Source organism: Homo sapiens, chromosome 17, assembly GCF_000001405.40.
Source record: "Homo sapiens chromosome 17, GRCh38.p14 Primary Assembly".
In the NCBI taxonomy this organism is placed as follows: domain Eukaryota; kingdom Metazoa; phylum Chordata; class Mammalia; order Primates; family Hominidae; genus Homo; species Homo sapiens.
The window spans coordinates 75111442-75131934 of record NC_000017.11 but is presented as its reverse complement, the minus strand read 5'-3'; the positions used below and the strand labels follow the sequence as shown (position 1 = coordinate 75131934).

At 52.7% G+C, this 20493-nt stretch overlaps 2 protein-coding genes across 8 annotated transcripts in view, besides 7 other annotated features; one reads left to right on the top strand and one right to left on the bottom strand.

The window, feature by feature from the left end:
- Window positions 31–600: a silencer, noted in NCBI's record as "silent region_8956". NCBI's record gives its function as "represses an Ori minimal core promoter by ATAC-STARR-seq in GM12878 lymphoblastoid cells {active_cell/tissue: GM12878}" and the evidence as "EXISTENCE:reporter gene assay evidence [ECO:0000049][PMID:35858748]".
- NT5C (5', 3'-nucleotidase, cytosolic) lies at window positions 193–1707 on the top strand. 4 transcript variants are annotated; one of them, NR_045513.2, is made up of 5 exons: window positions 193–401; window positions 654–754; window positions 854–970; window positions 1068–1182; window positions 1293–1707. NR_045513.2 is itself a non-coding variant. In NM_014595.3 (5 exons), the coding sequence occupies exons 1-5, from the start codon at window positions 228–230 to the stop codon at window positions 1445–1447; spliced, it is 606 nt and encodes a 201-aa protein (NP_055410.1). In that variant the 5' UTR covers window positions 193–227; the 3' UTR covers window positions 1448–1707. The 4 variants fall into 4 exon arrangements, 3 of the variants coding, with proteins under 3 accessions (NP_055410.1, NP_001239306.1, XP_011523002.3); NM_014595.3 differs by having other exon boundaries at window positions 830–890; NM_001252377.2 differs by lacking the exon at window positions 1068–1182 and having other exon boundaries at window positions 830–890; window positions 1298–1707.
- Window positions 970–1174: a silencer, noted in NCBI's record as "fragment chr17:73126856-73127060 (GRCh37/hg19 assembly coordinates)". NCBI's record gives its function as "represses an EF-1alpha promoter that drives an FKBP-Casp9 reporter gene in an ReSE screen in K562 erythroleukemia cells {active_cell/tissue: K562}" and the evidence as "EXISTENCE:reporter gene assay evidence [ECO:0000049][PMID:32094911]".
- Window positions 1211–1300: an enhancer, noted in NCBI's record as "active region_12736". NCBI's record gives its function as "activates an Ori minimal core promoter by ATAC-STARR-seq in GM12878 lymphoblastoid cells {active_cell/tissue: GM12878}" and the evidence as "EXISTENCE:reporter gene assay evidence [ECO:0000049][PMID:35858748]".
- The window catches only part of ARMC7 (armadillo repeat containing 7), a 20304-nt gene continuing 1473 nt past the window's right edge, over window positions 1663–20493 (bottom strand). For 2 of the 4 annotated variants that reach the window (NM_024585.4, NM_001304271.2), the window contains exon 3: window positions 1663–3258. In NM_024585.4, the coding sequence (NP_078861.1) occupies window positions 2897–3258 (362 nt within the window). In that variant the 3' untranslated portion in view covers window positions 1663–2896. Of the gene's footprint in view, window positions 3259–17114; window positions 17767–20493 lie in introns of those variants that run through there. The other 2 variants (NM_001304273.2, NM_001304272.2) reach the window with 2 other exon arrangements.
- Window positions 6763–7962: an enhancer, noted in NCBI's record as "P300/CBP strongly-dependent group 1 enhancer chr17:73120068-73121267 (GRCh37/hg19 assembly coordinates)". NCBI's record gives its function as "activates an origin of replication core promoter dependent on BRD2, BRD4, P300/CBP, MED14 and CDK7 cofactors, with strong dependence on P300/CBP, by STARR-seq in HCT116 cells {active_cell/tissue: HCT116}" and the evidence as "EXISTENCE:reporter gene assay evidence [ECO:0000049][PMID:35650434]".
- Window positions 16865–16914: an enhancer, noted in NCBI's record as "active region_12735". NCBI's record gives its function as "activates an Ori minimal core promoter by ATAC-STARR-seq in GM12878 lymphoblastoid cells {active_cell/tissue: GM12878}" and the evidence as "EXISTENCE:reporter gene assay evidence [ECO:0000049][PMID:35858748]".
- Window positions 16955–17014: an enhancer, noted in NCBI's record as "active region_12734". NCBI's record gives its function as "activates an Ori minimal core promoter by ATAC-STARR-seq in GM12878 lymphoblastoid cells {active_cell/tissue: GM12878}" and the evidence as "EXISTENCE:reporter gene assay evidence [ECO:0000049][PMID:35858748]".
- Window positions 17456–17995: an enhancer, noted in NCBI's record as "H3K4me1 hESC enhancer chr17:73110035-73110574 (GRCh37/hg19 assembly coordinates)". NCBI's record gives its function as "activates a minimal SCP1, AML or CMV promoter by ChIP-STARR-seq in primed H9 embryonic stem cells {active_cell/tissue: H9 hESC(primed)}" and the evidence as "EXISTENCE:reporter gene assay evidence [ECO:0000049][PMID:30033119]".

Sequence of the window (20493 nt, the reverse complement as noted above, 5' to 3'; positions counted from 1 at the left end):
AGAAGCGCAGGGTCAGAAAAGTGCCCCCCAAAGCCGTCCCTGCACCCGAACCCTAGGATGGCCTCGCGCAACCGCAGGGCCGTCGGCACTGGTTTACGACCTGGGCGGGGCGGCCCGGACACTCTATGCAAATCAGCCCGGCGGACTCCGGAAGCAGCGCTCCCTCCGCTTCCGGCCGAGCCCGCGCCCCCCAGACCCCGAGAGCTCGCAGCTCCGGCCCGGCGGCGATGGCGCGGAGCGTGCGCGTGCTGGTGGACATGGACGGCGTCCTGGCCGACTTCGAGGCCGGCCTCCTGCGGGGCTTCCGCCGCCGCTTCCCTGAGGAGCCGCACGTGCCGCTGGAGCAACGCCGCGGCTTCCTGGCCCGCGAGCAGTACCGCGCCCTGCGGCCCGACCTGGCGGTAGGGGGCGCAGGGTCCCCACCCGGGCAGGGCCCGCTCGCTCCGTTCCGGGGGTCTCCCCCTTCTCTGTGAAGGGCGCAGAGCTCTCACCCTGGAACCCGCGGGCAGCGCACCCTGGGGAGGAGCCTTTGGGCGCGTGCCCCTGACCGACGCCCCCTCCGCCCCTCTGAGCTCGGGCCCGGAGCCCCCAGGAGCCTCCCTGCGGGTCCTCGCGGGAACGGGAAGCCGGGACCCAGAACTCTTGTCTTTCAGGATAAAGTGGCCAGTGTGTACGAAGCCCCGGGCTTTTTCCTGGACCTGGAGCCCATCCCGGGAGCCTTGGACGCTGTGCGGGAGATGAACGACCTACCGGAGTAAGGAGAGAGGGGGGCGGGCGGAGTCCTGGGCGGGCTCCTGGCTCCCGGCGGTAACCGCGTCCTTCTCCGCAGCACGCAGGTCTTCATCTGCACCAGCCCCCTGCTGAAGTACCACCACTGTGTGGGTGAGAAGGTGTGGCTGCCCCGCCCCTACTCCGCACGTGGAGCTGCCTAAATCCTGATTTTAAAAAGAAACCACCAGAAACCCAGAAGGTGGGGGTGGGGGGCTCTCAAGGGCTTAGAGCCAAGTCCCTATCCCTGAATTCCGGCTTCCATCAGGCCCTACTCACAGACTGTGTTTTCTACACAGTACCGCTGGGTGGAGCAGCACCTGGGGCCCCAGTTCGTAGAACGAATTATCCTGACAAGGGACAAGACGGTGGTCTTGGGGGACCTGCTCATTGATGACAAGGACACAGTTCGAGGTTGGACCCGTTATCCTTGGCAGCCTCCAGGCCTCTGGCCTGCCCGGATTAGGGAGAGGGAGTAATAATACCCATGACAGATGGCAGCGCGCTGTCTTTCACTGTCCTAGGCCAGGAGGAGACCCCAAGCTGGGAGCACATCTTGTTCACCTGCTGCCACAATCGGCACCTGGTCCTGCCCCCGACAAGGAGACGGCTGCTCTCCTGGAGTGACAACTGGAGGGAGATCTTAGATAGCAAGCGCGGAGCTGCGCAGCGGGAATGAGCGGGGATGCCGCGGGCAGCAGCTGGAGCTAAAGGAAGGGCAGGCCCACAGGGGCCACCGCAGAGCCGAGTCGGGGCGGCATCGTGCTGGTGCCTCTGGCCCCGTGGAGTGGAGCAGGCAGATACCGTTAAGCGCTGTGCTACCGGGCCCCAGGCCCAGCCACCCGGTACCTCCCGAGAGGCTGTCCCTGGACCCTGGCTGGCATGGAAATACAGTGGGAAAACCAGTCGGGACCTTTAATAAAAGACCTTGGCTTTCTAGTCTTCTAGGACCCTTTATTTGGGAACATAAAGGGACAGGCTCCCTGAGCGGGTGCTGATGAGCCCTTCCCTCCCCTCTGAGTCCAGTGGTCCCCTAATCTGCCCCATTTCCATGCCCACGTGGGTACCATTTTTGTAGCACCTGCCATTCCTGGGCCATCTAAGGGGTCAGCCTTGAGGGGGTACACGAGAGGCAAGGACCCCCATTTTCCCTGAGCTCCACCTTTCCATCGGATCCCACGCTCCTTATGTTGACCAGGGGGCACCATGGACATGGAGCCACATCCTTTACGTTGCCGTCTCTTCCTGACTCCCTTGAGCAACACTCACTGCGTCCCTGATGCCCTCGTGGGATACACTTCTGGGGTAGGGCTCCCCATCATTGAGTGACAGCAGAGGAGGGCCGAAGCTTTCAGCCGGGGCCATGGGGTGGCAAGGGGAGAAGATGCAGTTACCAGGGCTGGTGCCTCTATTCCGACGTATCATCACCTGCATGGCCTTGTGCTTGATGCCCGATGGCCACATTAAGTCCCTGGGCTGTCACTCAAGGGCAGGGACCACATCTTCATCTTGGAGTCATGGTGCCTAACAGCAAGGCTGGGTGGACAGTCAATGCTGGGCCACAGGTTATCCAGGTTGGCATCCACCAGGCCCAAATGCCCAGCTTGGAGAGCCCCTGGGGGAGGCATCCATCCTCCAGAGCCCTGGAGGGGGCACCACATCTTCCCAGGGTGAGATCCTTTCACCACGAGGCATCTCATTCCTATACCTGAAAACTACTCCAGACACTTCTGTTAAGGGATAATCCCTGATTTCCTGCAGCGAAGGCAGCTCTCCTAAGCCTCAGGCCCAGCTCCTGAGAACACTGTCCTGCAAAGCCTCTGGGTCCAGGCACTTGGCCGCTTCTTACACCAGGGCCTGAGTCTGGTGGTGGTGGCACCTGATGTAGGATTGAGAGTGCCAGCCTATGAACGCAGCTCCAGTTTGATCTTCTCCGTGTCTCTGGAGTCTGGCTTCCTCACTCCCAGTGGCGTTTCATCAGTGTAAATGCCTGTCCTGCTGAAAGAACCCGCCTTTCAGATGGCTGAAAAGGCACCAATGGGGCAGTATGTGCTCCCCGTTCCCTGCGTCCACATCAGGACTGTGGTCTCCAGCAGTAGGGGTGCCACGGTCTCGCAGTCTCCATGGATCAGCGCTGCCGTGGGGCCACGCTCCTCGGCAGTGGGATACCCAGGGCAGAGTGCGCCTGCCGGCTGCGGGCCTCGGCCACCTGGCGGGGGGAGCAGAAGTCCTCCAGGAAGATCTGTGCCAGGTTCCGGAGCCTGGCGCTGGCCGAGAGGGAGAAGCGAAGCATGCACTGCACCACGGGCGTGGCGGTCAGCTCTGGGAGAAAGCTGCGGCCCGGCGGGCTCAGGTGCATGAGCGTGGTGATGGCAGACAGCACCGTCTCCTCATTGGGGCTGGATAGGCAGTTGATGATGAGTGGGACACCTCCTGCGTGCAGGATGTGCTCCTTGTTGGCCCTGTCTGGGCACAGGTTGCACAGGCCTCCTGTGGGAGAGCAAGGAAGAGTCTGGATGCTGTAGCCCCGGGCCTCCTCCCACCTCCCCTGCCCGTGAGCCCCAGGTAGGGGCCCAGGCTGTTGAGAAGCTGGCCCCAGCACAAGGCATCCAAAGCCCATTCCGGCTCCTGCCTTCTCAAGTTTCCAGAAAGGCCTGCCTGCCTGCTCCAGCCTGCCACAGCCCACCCTTCCAGAAGTGGGCACAAATCCCTTTCCCTCTCAGTTCAGCAAGTTCAATGGCTGATACGCTTTTTTTTTCCCCTTTCTTAAATGTAAAAACCTAAAACAAGGCCGGCCCGGGCACGGTGGTTCACGCCTGTAATCCCAGCACTTTGGAAGGCTGAAGTGAGTGGATCACCTGAGGTCACGAGTCCGAGACCAGCCTGGCCAACATGGTGAAACTGTCTCTACTAAAAATACAAAAATTAGCCGGGTGTGGTGGCAGGTGCCTGTAATCCCAGCTACTTGTGAGGCTGAGGCAGGAGAATTGCTTGAACCTGGGACTCGGAGGTTGCAGTGAGCCGAGATTGCATCACTGCACTCCAGCCTGGGCAACAGAGCTAGACTCTGTCTCAGAAATAAATAAATAAATAAAAAACTAAAACCCTGTAATGTATCATCACCTTAGAACAGTTTATAAAAGTTATAAAAATATAAGATGATGGTTTCATGGGTATATACTTATGCCAAAATTTATCAAATTGTACCCTTTAAATATGTACAGTTTATTATGTCCATCATATAGCAATAAAACTGTTAAAATACTAGAATGGGCTGGGCACAGTGGCTCACACCTGTAATTCCAGTGCTTTGGCAGGCCAAGGCAGGAGGATCCCTTGAGCCCAGGAATTCGAGACCAGCCTTGGCGACATGGCAAAACTCTGTCGCTACCAAAACACACACAATTAGCCAGGCATGATGGTACACGCCTGTAGTCTCAGCTACTTGAGAGGCTGAGGTGGGAGGACTGCTTGGGCCCACGAAGTGGAGCTGCAGTAAGCCATGAACGCACCACTGCACTCCAGCCTGGGCGACAGAGTGAGACCCTGTCTCAAAAACAAACAAATGGCTGGGAGCGGTGGCTCACGCCTATAATCCCAGCACTTTGGGAGGCCGAGGTGGGTGGATCACCCTGAGGTCAGGAGTTCCAGACCAGCCTGGCCAACATGGTGAAACCCCGTCTCTACTAAAAACACAAAAATTAGCTGGGCCTGTGGCACATGCTTGTAATCCCAGCTACTTGGGAGGCTGAGGCAGAATAGCTTGAACCCGGTAGGTGGAGGTTGCCGAGATGGCACCACTGCATTCCAGCCTGGGCAACAGAGCAAATACTACGTCTCAATGTTAGGCGGCTGACCTAACATTTGTTTTTCATTCTACAATTTGAAATATGTGAATATATGTAAGTATTTAGTAAAAATGGGATACTCTGCTTGCTGCTTGGTCAGTTTTCTGAGATGGGGTGGGATCTCCCTATGTTGTCCAGTCTGGTCTTGAACTTCCGGCTTTAAGCCATCCTTCTGCCTCAGCCTCCCTGGGAGTTAAGACTGACTCCAGGCATGCACCACTGTGCATGGCTTACGCCAGCTTTTTTTTTTTTTTTTTTTGAGACAGTTTTGCCCTGTTGCCCAGGCTAGAGTGCAGTGGCATGATCGCGGCTCATTGCAACCTCCGCCTCCCGGGTTCAAGTGATTCTCCTGCCTCAGCCTCCCAAGTAGCTGGGATAACCGGCATGTGCCACCATGCCCGGCTAAATTTTTGTATTTTTAGTAGAGACGGGGTTTCACCATGTTGGCCAGGCTGGTCTCGAACTCCTGACCTCAGGTGTTCCACCCGCCTCGGCCTCCCAAAGTGCTGGGATTACAGGCATGAGCCACTGTGCCCCGCCCAGCTTTTTTCATTTACCAATATATTGTGATTAGCGGGGCATGGTTGAGCACACCTATAGTCCCAGCTACTAGGGAGGCTTAGGCAGGAGAGTTGCTTGAACCCAGGAGGCTGAGGTTGCAATGAGCTGAGATTGCGCCATTGCACTCCAGCCTGAGCAAACGAGTGAAACTCCATCTCAAAAAAAAAAAACAAAAACAAAAAAACAATGTATTGTGAACATCTTTCCATGCCAATAAATTCACATTCATGGCTATGCAGTGATTGTAGATTAATGGTAAGGAGTGTACCATTTGACAGATATAGTGTAATTAAGAGAATAGAGCATTTTAATGTTATTTCCATGTCACCGTTACTAGGATTCTGGGGGAAAACAGAAAAGGCAACAGTGACAGATCAGTGGTTCTGGATCAAAGAACTCACGTGCTCAGGTAATGTGGCTGGAATCCCACTCCCATTCCCTCAAGTCAGGCCCCCTCAATGTAATGACCTCTTAGCCTTGGGGACAGATGCTACCTTGTTTTGGAGGTCACTCTGCTCAGCACTGGCTGCTCCCTGCGGGAAGATGACTTCCTGTGCATCCTGAGCTTCCTGTCATCACGGTACCCCTCCCTTTGGTTCCTGCTCAGTGGAGGAAGCCACCTCTCAGCTCATTTGCAAAACATGCCCAGTGTCCTGAGTGACCAATCAGTGAAGGCCACAGCTCTACCCACTTCCCCTGTTTTTCTGGAAACTAACAAAGAGAAGACTTACCTGAACCTGAAACCCAACTAAGACATCTTCCCCAGCCAGAGGGACAGGTGCCCATGGTGCCCCCGCCAAGGACCCTCCTCCACTGACTGGGGCAGGAGTCTGCCAAGGTTTCACTCTGCTGCCTGCTCCCAAGCAGCACCTGGGTCAGGCTGGTCCTGCTTTGAGGGAACCTTTTTTATTTTTGAGATGGAGTTTCACTCTTTCACCCAGGCTGGAGTGAAGTGGCGCGATCTCGGCTCACTGCAACCTCCGCCCCACCAGGTTCAAGTGATTCTCTTGCCTCAGCCTCCCAAGTAGCTGGGATTACAGGTACATGCCACCACACCTGGCTAATTTTTTTTTTGTATTTTTAGTAGAGACAGGGTTTCGCCATGTTAGCCAGGCTGGTCTTAAACTCTTGACCTCAGGTGATCCACCCATCTTGGCCTCCCAAAGTGCTAGGATTACGGGTGTGAGCCACCGTGCCCAGCTGGGGGAACATTATTAAAGGATCCCACTGCATGTGGAGTAAATTCCAGATGTCCGTGTGCTCCTTACCCCTGAGCCGTCCTGTCTGTTCTTCCCTCTCCCTGGCACTCATTGCAGTCTCCAACCTCAGTCCATCCCTGAGACCTTTCAGCCCCCAGTTGTCACACACTGACACCCTCTTGCTGGTAACAAGCCCTCCACTGCTCTCCTTGCAAGTGGCGTCTTCCTGGGATACCCGACTAGGTGCTCTACCATGTCAGGGCAGCCCTTCATCACCTGATCCTTTAAGCACTGACCCGGGGGGGAAAGGGTTCAAAGAACCGCAGATGGTCAGGGGGCTGGACAGTGTGGCTCCCTGACATCCTGCCCACCCTGGACTTCTGTAGTTCTTAGATCTGGGCTGCAGCTCACAGGCAGGACACATCTGAGGGAGGGAAGGAGCTCTTTGGCCTCTCTGGAGTCCTGAGAAAGAGTAGCAGCAGCAGAGGGCAAGCAGGCCCTGACTGAGCGCCTCTCCCCATGGGGCCCTTGGAGCCTCCCTTGCCAGTCCCACTTCAGCACTTGCTAAAGCACAGGGTGGCCCCTAGCGTGGCTGTGGCATTCTGTAGGCTGCCTTTTGTCCTTGCTCTGTCCCTTCCACCAGGAGCTATAAGGCAGGGCTCAAGTTCCTAGAACCGTGGACACTTCACTGAGCACGCACTGGACACATGACTGAACCCTAGAAACAAGTGCTAACATCACCCCCATTTCCATGGGAGAAGTCAAGGCTATGAGAGACTGAGTGAGCTGCCCAAAACGCTAAAGAGATGGGAGCCTTCTGCCCCTCGGCCCTCCCATGGGAAATGGCGGCCCTCCCATGGGAAATGGCGGGGCCCTCTGGAAGCAGTAAGGACAACGAATCCAGCCTTGGGCAGATGCCAGGCTCAGTCTGGAGCAGGGGCAGTGGAAGTGCTGTGGTCGGACTCTTCTGCTCAGACACACCCGCGGCATGTCTCCCGAGCTGACGGGAGCGGCCTTCCTGTGCACACTGGACTGCGGGTGGGGTGATGGGATTTCTCTCTGTGTAAAGTGTGATAAGATGAAGCCTGAGTCACTGCCTGGCAGCTGAGTCATCACCACACCCAGGTGCGCCTGGGCAGGGCACTGCCACCCAGACTGCGGAAAACCAGAGGGTGGGGGCAGGAGGAGGCCTCAGGAGAGCCACCCTCTCCCTCCCTCCCCACACAGAGGCCTAGGAGTCTCCAAGGATGGACCGGGTGCCTGCCAGAGCTCACCAGCTGCTTGGACCCTCTCCGCAGTGGCAGGGAACTCCTGAAGCTCCTCTGCCTAGCGGGTAGTGTCCCTTAGAGATGAAGAAGGCGGTGAGGGCCAGAAAAGAAAAGGGCACAGAGTTTCAGGGCAGGAAGTCTGAGCTGGAGCAGAAAGATGAGCCAAGATGGCGCCAGAGGACCCACAAGAGGCCACAGCAACAGCTGCTTTGAGCTTCTCCCTGGGTCTACCTGTGTGAACCTGCCCTGAAGAACTGAGAAGGGCCATGGAAAAAGAGCAACGTGGAAACTGGGAGCTTCCTAGAATGCTTGGTAATAGCCAGATGGCTAAATTATGGTACATGCATATGATGAAACAGTATACAGTACTTTTTTTTTTGAGTATGAGCCTCGCTCTTGTCGCCCACGCTGGAGTGCAGTAGCACGATCTCGGCTCACTGCAACCTCCGCCTCCCGGGTTCAAGCAATTCTCCTGCCTCAGCCTCCCAAGTAGCTGGGATTACAGGCATGCACCACCACGCCCAGCTAATTTTGTATTTTTAGTAGAGATGGGGGTTTCACCATGTTGGCCAGGCTAATCTCGAACTCCTAACCTCATGCCTTGGCCTCCCAAAGTACTGGGATGAAAGGCGTGAGCCATTGTGTCTGGCAATATTTACAGTTCTTAAAAATAATGTCTTCAGGCTGGGCGCGGTGGATCACAAAATTAGGAGATCAAGACCGTCCTGGCTAACACGGTGAAACTCCCTCTCTACTAAAAATACAAAAAATTAGCCGGGCACGGTGGTGGGCACCTGTAGTCCCAGCTACTCAGGAGGCTGAGGCAGGAGAATGGCCTGAACCCGGGAGGTGGAGCTTGCAGTGAGCAGAGATCGCACTGCTGCACTCTAGCCTGGGCGACAGAGCGAAACTCGGTCTCAAAAAAAAAAAAAAAGTCTTCAAAGGCCAGGTGTGGTGGCTCATGCCTGTCATCCCAGCACTTTGGGAGGCCGAGGCGGGTGGATCACAAGGTCAGGAGTTCAAGATCAGCCTAGCCAACATAGTGAAACCCCGTCTCTACTAAGTAAAAAAAAAAAAAAAAAAAATTAGCTGGGCCTGATGGTGTGTCCCTGTAGTCCCAGCTACTTGGGAGGCTGAGGCAAGAGAATTGCTTGAACTCAGGAGGTGGAGGTTGCAGTGAGCTGAGATCGTGCCACTGCAATCCAGCTTGGGCGACAGAGTGAGACTTCACCTCAAAAATTAAAAAAAAAAAAAAAAAGTGTCCAAAGAATAATTCATGTTAGAAAATGCCTGTAATTTAAGATGAAGGAGGGAAGAAGGACACCAGATTGTACATACAATAAGATAGGCCCGCTAAGACGCCACCTCCTCTAAGAGCTTTCTGTGAGCACCTAACCTGCCCCCCCACCACGCCCCCCTCACCAGGCTTTGCTTCTTTCCTTCACACTTACTGACATTACAGTAGTTATTTGTCAAAATATTGGCTGTTGCTCCACTAAACTATAAACTCCGTGAGAATGGGGACTCTGCCTTGTCTCATTCTCTATCAGCAGCCTCGCATTAGCAGGTGTTTAATAAATAGGAAAACGTTATCTCTACAGATATTCTTTTAAAAATTAAAAAAGCCAGGGCCAGGCACAGTGGCTCACTCCTGTAATCCCAGCACTTTGGGTGGTGAGGCAGGAGGATCACCTGAGGTCAGGAGTTCAAGACTAGCCTTGCCAACATGGTGAAACCCCATCTCTACTAAAAATACAAAAAATTAGCTGGGCGTGGTGGCACACGCCCGTAGTCCCAGCTACTCGAGAAGCTGAGGCAGGAGAATCGCTTGAACCCAGGAGGCGGAGGTTGCGGTGAGCCGAGATCACTCCACTGCACTCCAGCCTGGGCAACAAGAGTGAAACCCCGTCAAAAATAATAATAATAATAATTTTAAAAGATATTATTCTTTTTTGTTTTTGTTTTGAGACGGAGTTTTGCTCTGTCGCCCAGGCTGGAGTGCAGTGGCGCAATCTCGGCTCACTGCATCCTCCACCTCCGGGGTTCTCTGCCTCAGCCTCCCGAGTAGCTGGGATTACAGGCGCCCGTCAACATGCCCGACTAATTTCCTTTTGTATTTTTAGTAGAGATGGGGTTTCACCATCTTGGCCTGGCTTATCTTGAACTCCTGACCCTGTGATCCACCTGCCTCGCCCTCCCAAAGTGCTGGGATTATAGGCGTGAGCCACCACACCTGGCCAGATGTTATTCTTTTTTAAAAGCTGAATTTCACTGAGATAGGAGAATAACTCATCAAACGACACCATTAACACAGTAAAAAGGCAAAAGGAGAAAACATTCACTGACTATCCATCTGACAGAACGCTGGTATCCAGAACACATCAAGAACTCCTGCATATCAATAAAAGATGAACAACCCAATTTTGAAAATGAGCAAAAAGACTTAAACAAAGTCTTCTTTGCAAAAGGGCCAAAACATATGGAACTGTGCTCATTACGTATCAGAGAAATAAAAAGTATAACCACAAGAACATGCCACTACACACTCAACATAATAGCAAAAATAAAAAACACTGCTGCTGCGTGCAGTGGCTCACACCTGTAATCCCAGCACTTTGGGAGGCCGAGGAGGGTGGATCACTTGAGGTCAGGAGTTCCAGACCAGCCTGGCCAACATGGCGAAAACCTGTCTCTACTAAAAATACAAAAATTAGCTAGGCATGGTGGCCTACACATGCAACCTCAGCTACTCCGGAGGCTGAGGTGGGAGAATTGCTTGAACCCAGGAGGCGGAGGTTGCAGCAAGACGAGATTGTGCCAACTGTGCTCCAGCGTAGGCGACAGAGCGAGACTCCATCTCAAAAACAAACAAAAAAAGGCCAATACTAAGTGTTGGCAAGGAAGTGGAGCATATAGCATAACCTGGTGTAACTACGTGGAAAGTGATTTGGCAGCTTCTCATGACGTTAAACGCACATCTACCCTAGGACTGAGCAACTCCACTCCTAGGTGAGAGAAATGAGTACATATTTGTATGAACATGATCCTAACAGCTTCATTCATAAAGCTTCTAAACTAGAAACAATTCAAATCTCCGTCTACAGGCAGATGCATGAACAAATTGTGGCACATCCAAAGGAATGGATGATACTGCAATAATTTGGATGAATCTGAAAAACATAATGTTGAGTGAAAGAAATCAGATACGAGAGTAGATCCTGCATGGTTCTGTTTGTATGAAGTTCAAGAACAGGCAAAGCAAATCCACAGGATAGAGGTTAGAATAGTGGTTGCCTTGGAGTGGGAGATACTGACCCAGCGTGGGTGTGAAGGGAGTTTCTACGTCTTGGTTTAGGAGCTGCTTACATGGATGTACACATAGCTCAATGAATTTCAAAATTCACCAAACTGACACTTAAGATATGTGCATTTTATTCTGTTGATCATACTGCAATCTTTTTTTTTTTTTTTTTTTTTGAGACCGAGTCTTGCTCTGTCGCCCAGGCTGGAGTGCAGTGGTGCGATCTCAGCTCACTGCAATCTCCGCCTCCCAGGTTCAAGTGATTCTCCTGCCTCAGCCTCCTGAGTAGCTGGGACTACAGGTGCCCGCCACCATGCCCAGCTAATTTTTTGTATTTTTAGTAGAGATGGGGTTTCACCGTATTAGCCAGGATGGTCTTGATCTCCTGACCTCGTGATCCGCCCGCCTCGGCCTCCCAAAGTGCTGGGATTACAGGCCTGAGCCACCGTGCCCAGCCACCATACTGCAGTCTTAAAAATCGTTATAAAACAGAAAGGAGAACAAGTTCCGACTTCCTGATGAACATGCTCTGCACAAGACAGAGAGAAAACAAGAAGCAAGGGCAGGGCCTTCCAGACATCAGGACACACAGGAACTCTACACGAGAACCCTGGAGAGGCAAAAGAGGAAACCCCACATGAAAGCAAGATGAGAAAGCCGGAGACTCAGGGAGGTCAGGTGGGTGACCTCAGCTCACACGCCATGTTGGGCACTGGTGCAGGGAGGGACAACCTGGACCATGAAGGGAAGGTTGAAGGATGGTCCCAGGGATTAAATGAGGTGATGCTGGCCGGGCGTGGGGGCTCATGCCTGTAATCCCAGCACTTTGGGAGGCCGAGGGTGGATCACCTGAGGTCAGGAGTTCAAGACCACCCTGGCCAACATGGCAAAACTCCATCTCTACTAAAAATACAAAAATTAGCTGGGCATGGTGGCACTCACCTGTAGTCCCAGCTACTTGGGAGGCTGAGGCAGGAGAATGGCTTGAACTTGGGAGGCGGAGGTTGCAATGAGCCCAGATCATGCCACTGCACTCCAGCCTGGTCAACAGGGCGAGACTCCATCTCAAAAACAAAACAAAACGAGGTGATGCTTCTGACAAGTGCTTAGCTGGCACCTGGCACCTGGTGGCTGGGCAGGCCCTCGGCAAGGGCAGCTCAAAATACAGCTACATCTGGGGACTCGCCCATGCTGAGCTGAAGCAGCCCAGGGTCAAAGTCTTCACAGCAGGCTGGGCGTGGTGGCTCACGCCTGTAATCCTAGCACTTTGAGAGGGCCGAGGCAGGCGGATCACAAGGTCAGGAAATCGAGACCATCCTGGCTAACACGGTGAAACCCTGTCTCTACTAAAAAAAAAAAAAAATACAAAAAAAATTAGCTGGGCGTGGTAGCGGGTGCCTGTAGTCCCAGCTGCTGGGAAGGCTGAGGCAGGAGAATGGCGTGAACCCGGGAGGCGGAGCTTGCAGTGAGTCGAGATCGCGCCACTGCACTCCAGCCTGGGCGACAGAGCGAAACTCCGTCTCAAAAAAAAAAAAAGAAAAAACTGTATCACAGGGTATTTTCAGAAGTCTCACCACCATTCTGGTCCCTTCTACCTTGTTCCCTGCCTCGTACTAACCCATTTCCTTATTACACTTTTGTGTCTTGCCAGCGTGAGTGCATACACAGAGGTGTGTTCATCTCCACCCTGCCTTCTCACACAAAGGGTAGCTTACTCTATGTACTGTCTGTCCTTCAGACTTGAAATTGAAGGAGCCATTTTCAAGACACTGAAGGAAAACCCAAGAACAAATAATCCCCTGTGAATAGTCCAGTGTACCAGTCCAGTGTACCAGTGTACCAGTGTACAGTCCAGTGTACCAGTGTCATAGAGGAACTGCCACTGGGGCTGGGTGCAGTGGCTCATGCCTGTAATCCTAGCACTTTGGGAGGCTGGGGTCGGAGGATCACTTGAGCCCAGGAGTTTGAGGCCAGAACAAGGGACTAGAGTCTGAGCCTGGTGCCAGCTGGGTTCCCAGGGCACAGAATTTGGATCCTGGATGACAGGGGCGAAGTCCTGGCTCCAGTTATCACTAACAGCGGGAGCCCCAGGCAGTGGACTTGCCCTCACTTGGTGGTGGGGGTTCCCGATATGTACAAAGGGGTTAGAACCATCGGCCTTGCCGTTCATGACCGATTCAGAGGCCTTGTGGACAGGCTGGTTCAGGTGGGCGTGTGGCGAGCACATGGTGTGCACTGGGCGGGCATCCAGGAGAGGCAGCTTTTATCCCAACAGCACCCAAACAGGAGCCCTGGACCCTGGGCAGAAAAGGCAGCCAGAAGCACAGAAAGGGTCAATAAACTAGTTCTACAATTGCTCTAAATGGGCAGATCCACAAGAGGCCACAAAAGAGGCCAGAGACTTGAAAACCCGTGCGTGTTCTCCGCGGTCGCTGTAGCCGGATCCTTCCTCATGGCTGTGGCGGTGCCGACGGCGGGCAACTGAGAGGAAGCCACAGGAGAAAGAGACCGCCACACAGAGACGACGGTGAGTGAGGCCAGGCCCCTGTTGGCAAGTGGTTGCTGCCACTGTAGTTCCACTGCCACCGCTGATGGGAACACTTGAGGCCAGACTGAAGCCCTGGCTGACATGGAGAGAGAGCAGGGGCTTCTCTAGGGGCCTGCAGGCCCCCAAGCATGGAAATAAAGGAAAATCTTGAGTCCCTTCATGAAATTCCAGGCACCTAGCTAGCCCTGAGAAGCAAGTGAGCAACTCGATAAGCAAGAAGGTAATAGTTAGCTTAAAACAATAGCCAAGGAAGTCAGAATCAGGGGATGTCTGGTTTCCCCATAGAAACTAAAGATAACTTTGTTTTTTTTTTTTTTTTGAGACAGTCTTGCTTTGTCGCCCATGCTGGAGTGCAGTGGCACGATCTTGGCTCACTGTAACCTCTGCCTGCCTCCTGGGTTCAAGCGATTCTCCTGCCTCAGCTTCCAGAGTAGCTGGGATTACAGGCTCCTGCCACCACACCCAGCTAGATTTTGTATTTTTAGTAGAGACGGGGTTTCACCATGTTGGCCAGGCTGGTCTTGAACTCCTGAGCTCAAGTGATCCACCCGCCTCAGCCTCCCAAAGTGCTGGGATTACAGGTGTGAGCCACCACACCCGGCCTAAAGATAACATCTTAATATCTGTCCTTGAGTTGCTTTTCAGAAATCTGGACCCTCAACAAACAATTCCCCTGGCACTGAGACCTCAGATAAGGGGAACTGAAAACTACACTCTGACCACTCTTTAGACTCCCTGAGGGGCCTGGAGGACATGCCCACAGGTTATAGCTAACATTCTTTTTTGCTGATGCCAAATTTGTAGACAAAGCTTCACCTCCTTAACCACTCACAAATCAGAAAATCTTTGAAGCCACCTATGATCTGTGCCCCATCCCTTGGAGACATCCTGCCTTCTTAGGCCAAACCAATATATAGCCTCCTGGTGTTGATTTAAAACTTTGTCTGTAACCTCTGCCTCCTGCCTTTGAACACCCTTAACCATAAGCCATCTGGGAATTTGGGTCTTAAGCATGAGCTGCCGGATTCTTCTTGCTTGTCGCCCCACAATAAAGGCCTCACTTTTGGCTGGGCACAGTGGCTCACGCCTGTAATCCCAGCACTTTGGGAGGCCGAGGCGGGCGGATCACCTGAGGTGAGGAGTTCGAGATCAGCCTGGCCAACATGTCGAAACCCCGTCTCTACTAAACATACAAAAATTAGCTGGGTGTGGTGGCGGGTGCTTGTAATCCCAGCTACTCAGGAGGCTGAGGCAGGAGAATTGCTTGAACCAGGTAGGCGGAGGTTGCAGTGAGACGAGATTGCACCATTGCACTCCAACCTGGGCAACGGAGTGAGAATCTGTCTCAAAAAAACCAAAACCAAAAACAAAAACAAAGCCTCACTTTCTCACTGCGATTTTTGTCAGTAATTGGCCTTAGTGTGCAGGGTGAGCGAATCCATTTGTTTGGATAGCATCCAGCTTCCAGCCCTCAGAGAGGAGGCAGAAGTGCTGGGCCAAAGAGCAGACCTCACTCAGAGCTGCCACAGCAAAGCCAGCATGGAAGGGTACCTGTGAGTGTGGTGGCTGCAGGGACAGACGGAAGGAAGCCTGCATTCTCATCCTGGCCTGCGACAGCCAGACGAGGGGCAGCTGTCTGCACCGCAGCTTCCTTATTGATAAAATGAGCAATTTGGAGTAAACTCCTTTCTCGCTTTCGCTCCACAATCCTAGGAATTGGAACTCCTCTAAGGGCAGGAAAAGGGCCAAGGGACTAGCTTGTAGACTCTGACTGCTCTGGGTTTAAGTCTCAGGTCTGGTACTCTTTATTTATTTTGAGACGGAGTTTCACTCTTGTTGCCCAGGCTGGAGTGCAATGGCGTGATCTTGGCTCACCTCAACCTCCACCTCCTCGGTTCAAGCGATTCTCCTGCCTCAGCCTCCTGAGTAGCTGGGATTACAGGCGCGTGCCACCGCACCCAGCTAATTGTATTTTTAGTAGAGATGGGGTTTCTCCATGTTGGTCAGGCTGGTCTCGAACTCCCGACCTCCGGTGATCTGCCCACTTCGGCCTCCCAAAGTGCTGGGATTACAAGCGTCAGCCACCATGCCCGGCCTAGGTCTGGTACTCTTTAAACCTTTGGCCAGCCCACAGAACCTCTCTAAGCCTCAGAGTCCTGATTGGAAAGAAGGCGGTGTAAGCACATCTACTTTAGTACTATGTCCAATGCACAAGATGCAAGCGCCTGGCATGCAGTGGGTGCTCCCCAAGTGTGAGCTAATGCCATCCGTGATGGGGGCACAACAGCACCGGGCCTGCAGCCAGGCTCTCCCCACCTGACATTGCCTGGGCACCCTCTGGGAGGCTGAGGATCGGTGTTCCTGTCATTCCGTGATGTTTTTCCAGAAGGTAAGAATTCCTGGAGCAGATGAGTGATTCCCTTGATAGGACGTTATCCCATCCCGCACCTCACCTCTCTGGGACAAGGGGCGACAGCTCACCCTCAAAGGGTTTTGGGTATTTGTCTTTGGATGGCAACCAAGGGAATCCTATCTATGGCTGCAGACACTAACCCTAAAAGAGCACTGTGGTGTTTCATTTAATTCTCTCAACTGATGTGAAGCAGCTACTGGCACTGTCCCCATCTGACAGATGATTGGAGGAGAGAGAGCCCACACCCAGATGCCTGCCTGACCCCAGGGCCCAGCTCTCATCCAACTCACTGTGCTGCCTGCCAACAAGCAGATACTTGTTTTGTTTGTTTTTGTAGGGACAGGGTTTTGCTATGTTGCCCAGGCTGCTCTTGACCTCCTGGGGGCTCAAGCAATCCTCTTGCTTCAGCCTCCCAGAATGCTGGGATTACAGGTATGAACCACCCTGCTCAACCAAGCAGACAATGGTTTTGGTTCCTTTTTTTTTTTATGGAGACAGAGTCTTGCTCTGTCACCCAGGCTGGAGTGCAGTGGCGTGATCTTGGCTCACTGCAACCTCTGTCTCCTGGTTCAAGCAACTCTTCTGCCTCAGCCTCCGAGTAGCTGGGACTACAGGTGTGCGCCACCACACCCAACTAATTTTTGTATTTTTAGTAGAGACGGGGTTTTGCCATGTTGGCCAGGCTGGTCTCGAACTCCTGACCTCAAGTGATCCACCCCCCTCGGCCTCCCAAATGGGATTACAGGTGTGAGCCACCATACCCAGCTTGGTTTTGGTTCTGCGAGCCACAGCCATGGGCAATCTGACTCAGCTCTCCACTGTGCCAGTCCTTCCAGAACCAACCCTGCTCAGGGGTGTTGCACCAAGTCATGGCCAGGACTCCACACCTATTAAGTGAAGATCTCCTGCCTTTTCTTCCCCTTCTTTCCTCCTCCCTAGGCCAAAAGGCCTAAGCACTCAAACCATGCAGACAGAAGTAAGGCTGGCTCTGGCTCAGGGAGATCACAATCTCAGGGCTGCCACATCGGATAAAAGACTCAAAGCTCCAAAGCGCAGCACAGAGCCTTCTCCAGAAACAGCAGAATAAGTGCCTGTCGGGGATCCCCAAGCAGAGACACTAAGAGAAAGGGAAACGACGGCAGTAAGAAAATACGCGGGGGCTCTCCTTCTCAGTCATGCATAATAAACACAAGAGAAATTTCGAGAAATTTCATTTGCATGTTGAAATTTCATTGCAACATGGTCCCACGGAGGGATTCGACGCTGAGAAAGCTACTGTGCTTGGGGCGGGGGGGTCTTGCTGTGGCAGAAGAAGGAAGAGAAAAAAAGGAGGAAAAAAATGGTTGGGAAAAGTAAAGCTGGTGATAATGATCCTAACAATTCTAAAATACCTGCACAGAGACACAGATGCACAGACACACTTCTGCTCCCACAACTGCTTGCGACGCAGGCAAGGCGGGAGAGGAAACCACGCTCGGAGAAGGGACGGGACTCAGCTTCTAGGAATCAGCTGAGAAGTGGAGACGCTGGGACCGCGGACTCCAGGACCCGGGCTCAGTCACCCACGCCGGGAAGCTGCCCAGGATGGCAAGAACCCAGCCCAGGCCCACGCCGCCCCCATAGCTCAGTGGACCCGGACCTCAGGGTGCCCCTGTCCTGGGAAAGTTGCTTCCTGACCCTGAGGAAACGCCAGCAGGAAAGACTCCACTTGGTAAACACTTTTGGTGGGGACTGCTCTGTGACTTCCGCCAATTTTTCTCCAGGGGCAGCAGCTTGATTTGGAGGAGCTCTATCGCCCCCTGGTGGAGATTTAGCCACATGCTTCTGCAGGGGCCACCGTCACCGTTCAGACTGCAGCAGCTGTGGGGGCAGAGGCACGAAAAGGGACGGGACGGAGGACGTTTTAGAGACCAACTTTTTAGAATATTTGTTTGGCATAATAATCTTCTAGAGGAGCTGGCATCACTCGGGGACCTGGGCAACTGGGGCTCCTGCCCTGGCTTGGCTTTAGCAGGCCCCACTCTGGTCCTCTGTGGGGCAGTAAGTCCAGGGAGCTCACCCAAAGCCCACAGCCGTCCTTCCCCTGCACCTGGAGCTCCAGGCCCTAAACCTGCTCCCACGGCTGCATGGGCCTCTCTCTTGGATCCTGACTCCCAGGAGTGAATGCCACTGTTGGTGTGTGCACTTCCAAACCCAGGGAGTGGCCAAGGGGCAGCTGTCTGTGGGGGTGTGAATCCGCACACACATGTGCTGGAGCCCCCTCATGGAGAGAAGACCCTCATTTGTAGTCTGGCCCCAGGAATCTCCTCTCCTCTTTAGAGGAGACCTGGATGGTCTTTGAAAAATTTGAATCACACTTATCATAATGTATTTTTGCCGGGCGCGGTGGCTCACGCCTGTAATCCCAGCACTTTGGGAGGCCGAGGCGGGCAGATCACGAGGTCAGGAGATTGAGCCCATCCTGGCTAACACGGTGAAACCCCGTCTCTACTAAAAGTACAAAAAATTAGCCGGGCCTGGTGGGGGGGCGCCTGTAATCCCAGCTACTTGGGAGGCTGAGGCAGGAGAATGGCGTGAACCCGGGAGGCGGAGCTTGCAGTGAGCCGAGATCGCGCCACTGCACTCCAGCCTGGGCGACAGAGCAAGACTCCATCTCAAAAAAAAAAATAAATAAATAAAAAGTATTTTTAAAAATGTGTTAGTTGGGCCAGGTGTGGTGGCTCACGACTGTAACCCCAGCACTTTGGGAGGCTGAGGCGGGCGGATCACCTGAGGTCAGGAGTTTGAGACCAGCCTGGCCAACACGGTGAAACCCCGTCTCTACTAAAAACACAAAAATTAGCCGGGCGTGGTGGCGGGCGCCTATAATCCCATACCCGGGAGGCTGAAGCAGGAGAACTGTCTGAACCCAGGAGGCAGAGGTTGCAGTGAGCTGAGATTGCACCACCGCATTCCAGCCTGGGCGACAGAGCAAGACTCCATCTCAAAAAATAAAATAAAATAAAATAAAATAAAATAAAAAATGTGTTATTTGATCCTATCAAGACATTCAACCCAATTTCTGGATTATAGGAAATAAAGGGGATAAAGAAACCACAAAGAGGCAATGAGACAAACCGGAAGGGGGAACATTTGCATTCCTGGTTGGGGCCTTCGAGAATCAGTGTTATGAAATGAGGGTCTGTTTAGGGTTACAAGGGATTTATTTCTTGGGGCCAGGAGTTCGAGACCAGTCTGGGCAACACAGTGAGATCCTGTCACAACAAAAAATTAAAAAAAAAAAAAATTAGCTGGGCATGGTGGTGCACACCTGTAGTCACAGCTACTCGGGAGGCTAAGGCAGGAAGACTGCTTGAGCCCAGGAGTTCAAGTTTATGGTGAGCTATGATCACACCACTGCACTCCAGCCTAAGTGACAGAGTGAGACCCTATCTCAAAAAAAAAAAAAAAAAAAAGAAAAAGAGAATAAAAAGAGAGATTTAAGATAATTTATGTAGTGACTTCCTTCCAATGGGTATCATACGTAAAGAGGGGAAAGAAAGAGTAATTTTACAGTGGAGAAGCCTGACAAGACTTCAGCCAGGTGACTACGCGCGTGTTGGCCAGGCTGCAGTGCAGTGGCTATTCACAGGTGCAATCGTGCAATCACAGCACACGACAGCCTCAAATTCCTGGGCTCAAGCGATCCTCTTGAGTATCTGGGACTACAGGTGGGCACTGCATTGCTTGAAAAAGGAATTTTTGTTTGTTCTCAAAATTTTGTTTGCTTCAAACTATTTCCCACGGCCTAGATCTAAACTCCTGCAAGCTCTGGTGCCACTGAACTCTCTAAACTCTTTTTGTGCCATTCTCCACTTCACTGCAACGATCCTCCCACATCAGCCTTCCGTCTGGCTCCTTCCTGTTTTAAGGCCTTTGCCCATGCTGTGTCCCGGCTAAAATGCCTTTCTCATGATGGCCAAAACTGAAGTAACCCCCACCTTCCACTGCTGTCTCTCATCACCCCATTTACTTCCTTCTGAGCATCATCTTTTTTGTTTGCTAACCACCTGTCCCCCCTACTAGAATGTAAGCTCCTGAGGGGCAAAGACCTTTCCCTAAGCTGTTCACCATACTCCAGCATTTAGAGCAGTAGCTTGCATATACGGTACACGCGCAATAAATATCTACCCAGTGAATAACTCAATAGGTCTTAAGATCATAACAACTACAGAAGCCATAAGTTACAGACTGCAAGCCATCTCTGCTTCTCTTGATATGAAAACACTAAATATGAGTTATTTTTGTTTTTGAGACAGATTCTCGTTTTGTCACCCAGGCTGGAGTACAGTGGCCCAATCCCAGCTCACTGCAGCCTTGACCTCCCAGGCTTAAGCAATCCTCCCACCTCAGCCTCCTGAGTAGCTGGGACACCACGCCAGACTAATTTTTTTTTTTTTTTTTTTAAAGCAGAGATGGGGTTTTGTCATGTTGCCCAGGCTGGTCTTGAACTCCGGAACTCAAGTGATCTCCCTGCTTCGGCCTCACAAAGTGCTGAGATTAAAGGTGTGAGCCACCTCACCCGCCTGAAATTGCTTTTTTTTTTGA

What these genes read in the sequence shown, in the direction of transcription:
- NT5C (NM_014595.3), top strand. Translation starts at nt 228, where the DNA reads ATGGCGCGGAGCGTGCGCGTGCTGGTGGACATGGACGGCGTCCTGGCC. An exon ending in CCCTGCGGCCCGACCTGGCG is followed by an intron (nt 402 to 653) that starts GTAGGGGGCGCA and finishes CTTGTCTTTCAG; the next exon opens with GATAAAGTGGCCAGTGTGTA. An exon ending in GAGATGAACGACCTACCGGA is followed by an intron (nt 755 to 829) that starts GTAAGGAGAGAG and finishes CCTTCTCCGCAG; the next exon opens with CACGCAGGTCTTCATCTGCA.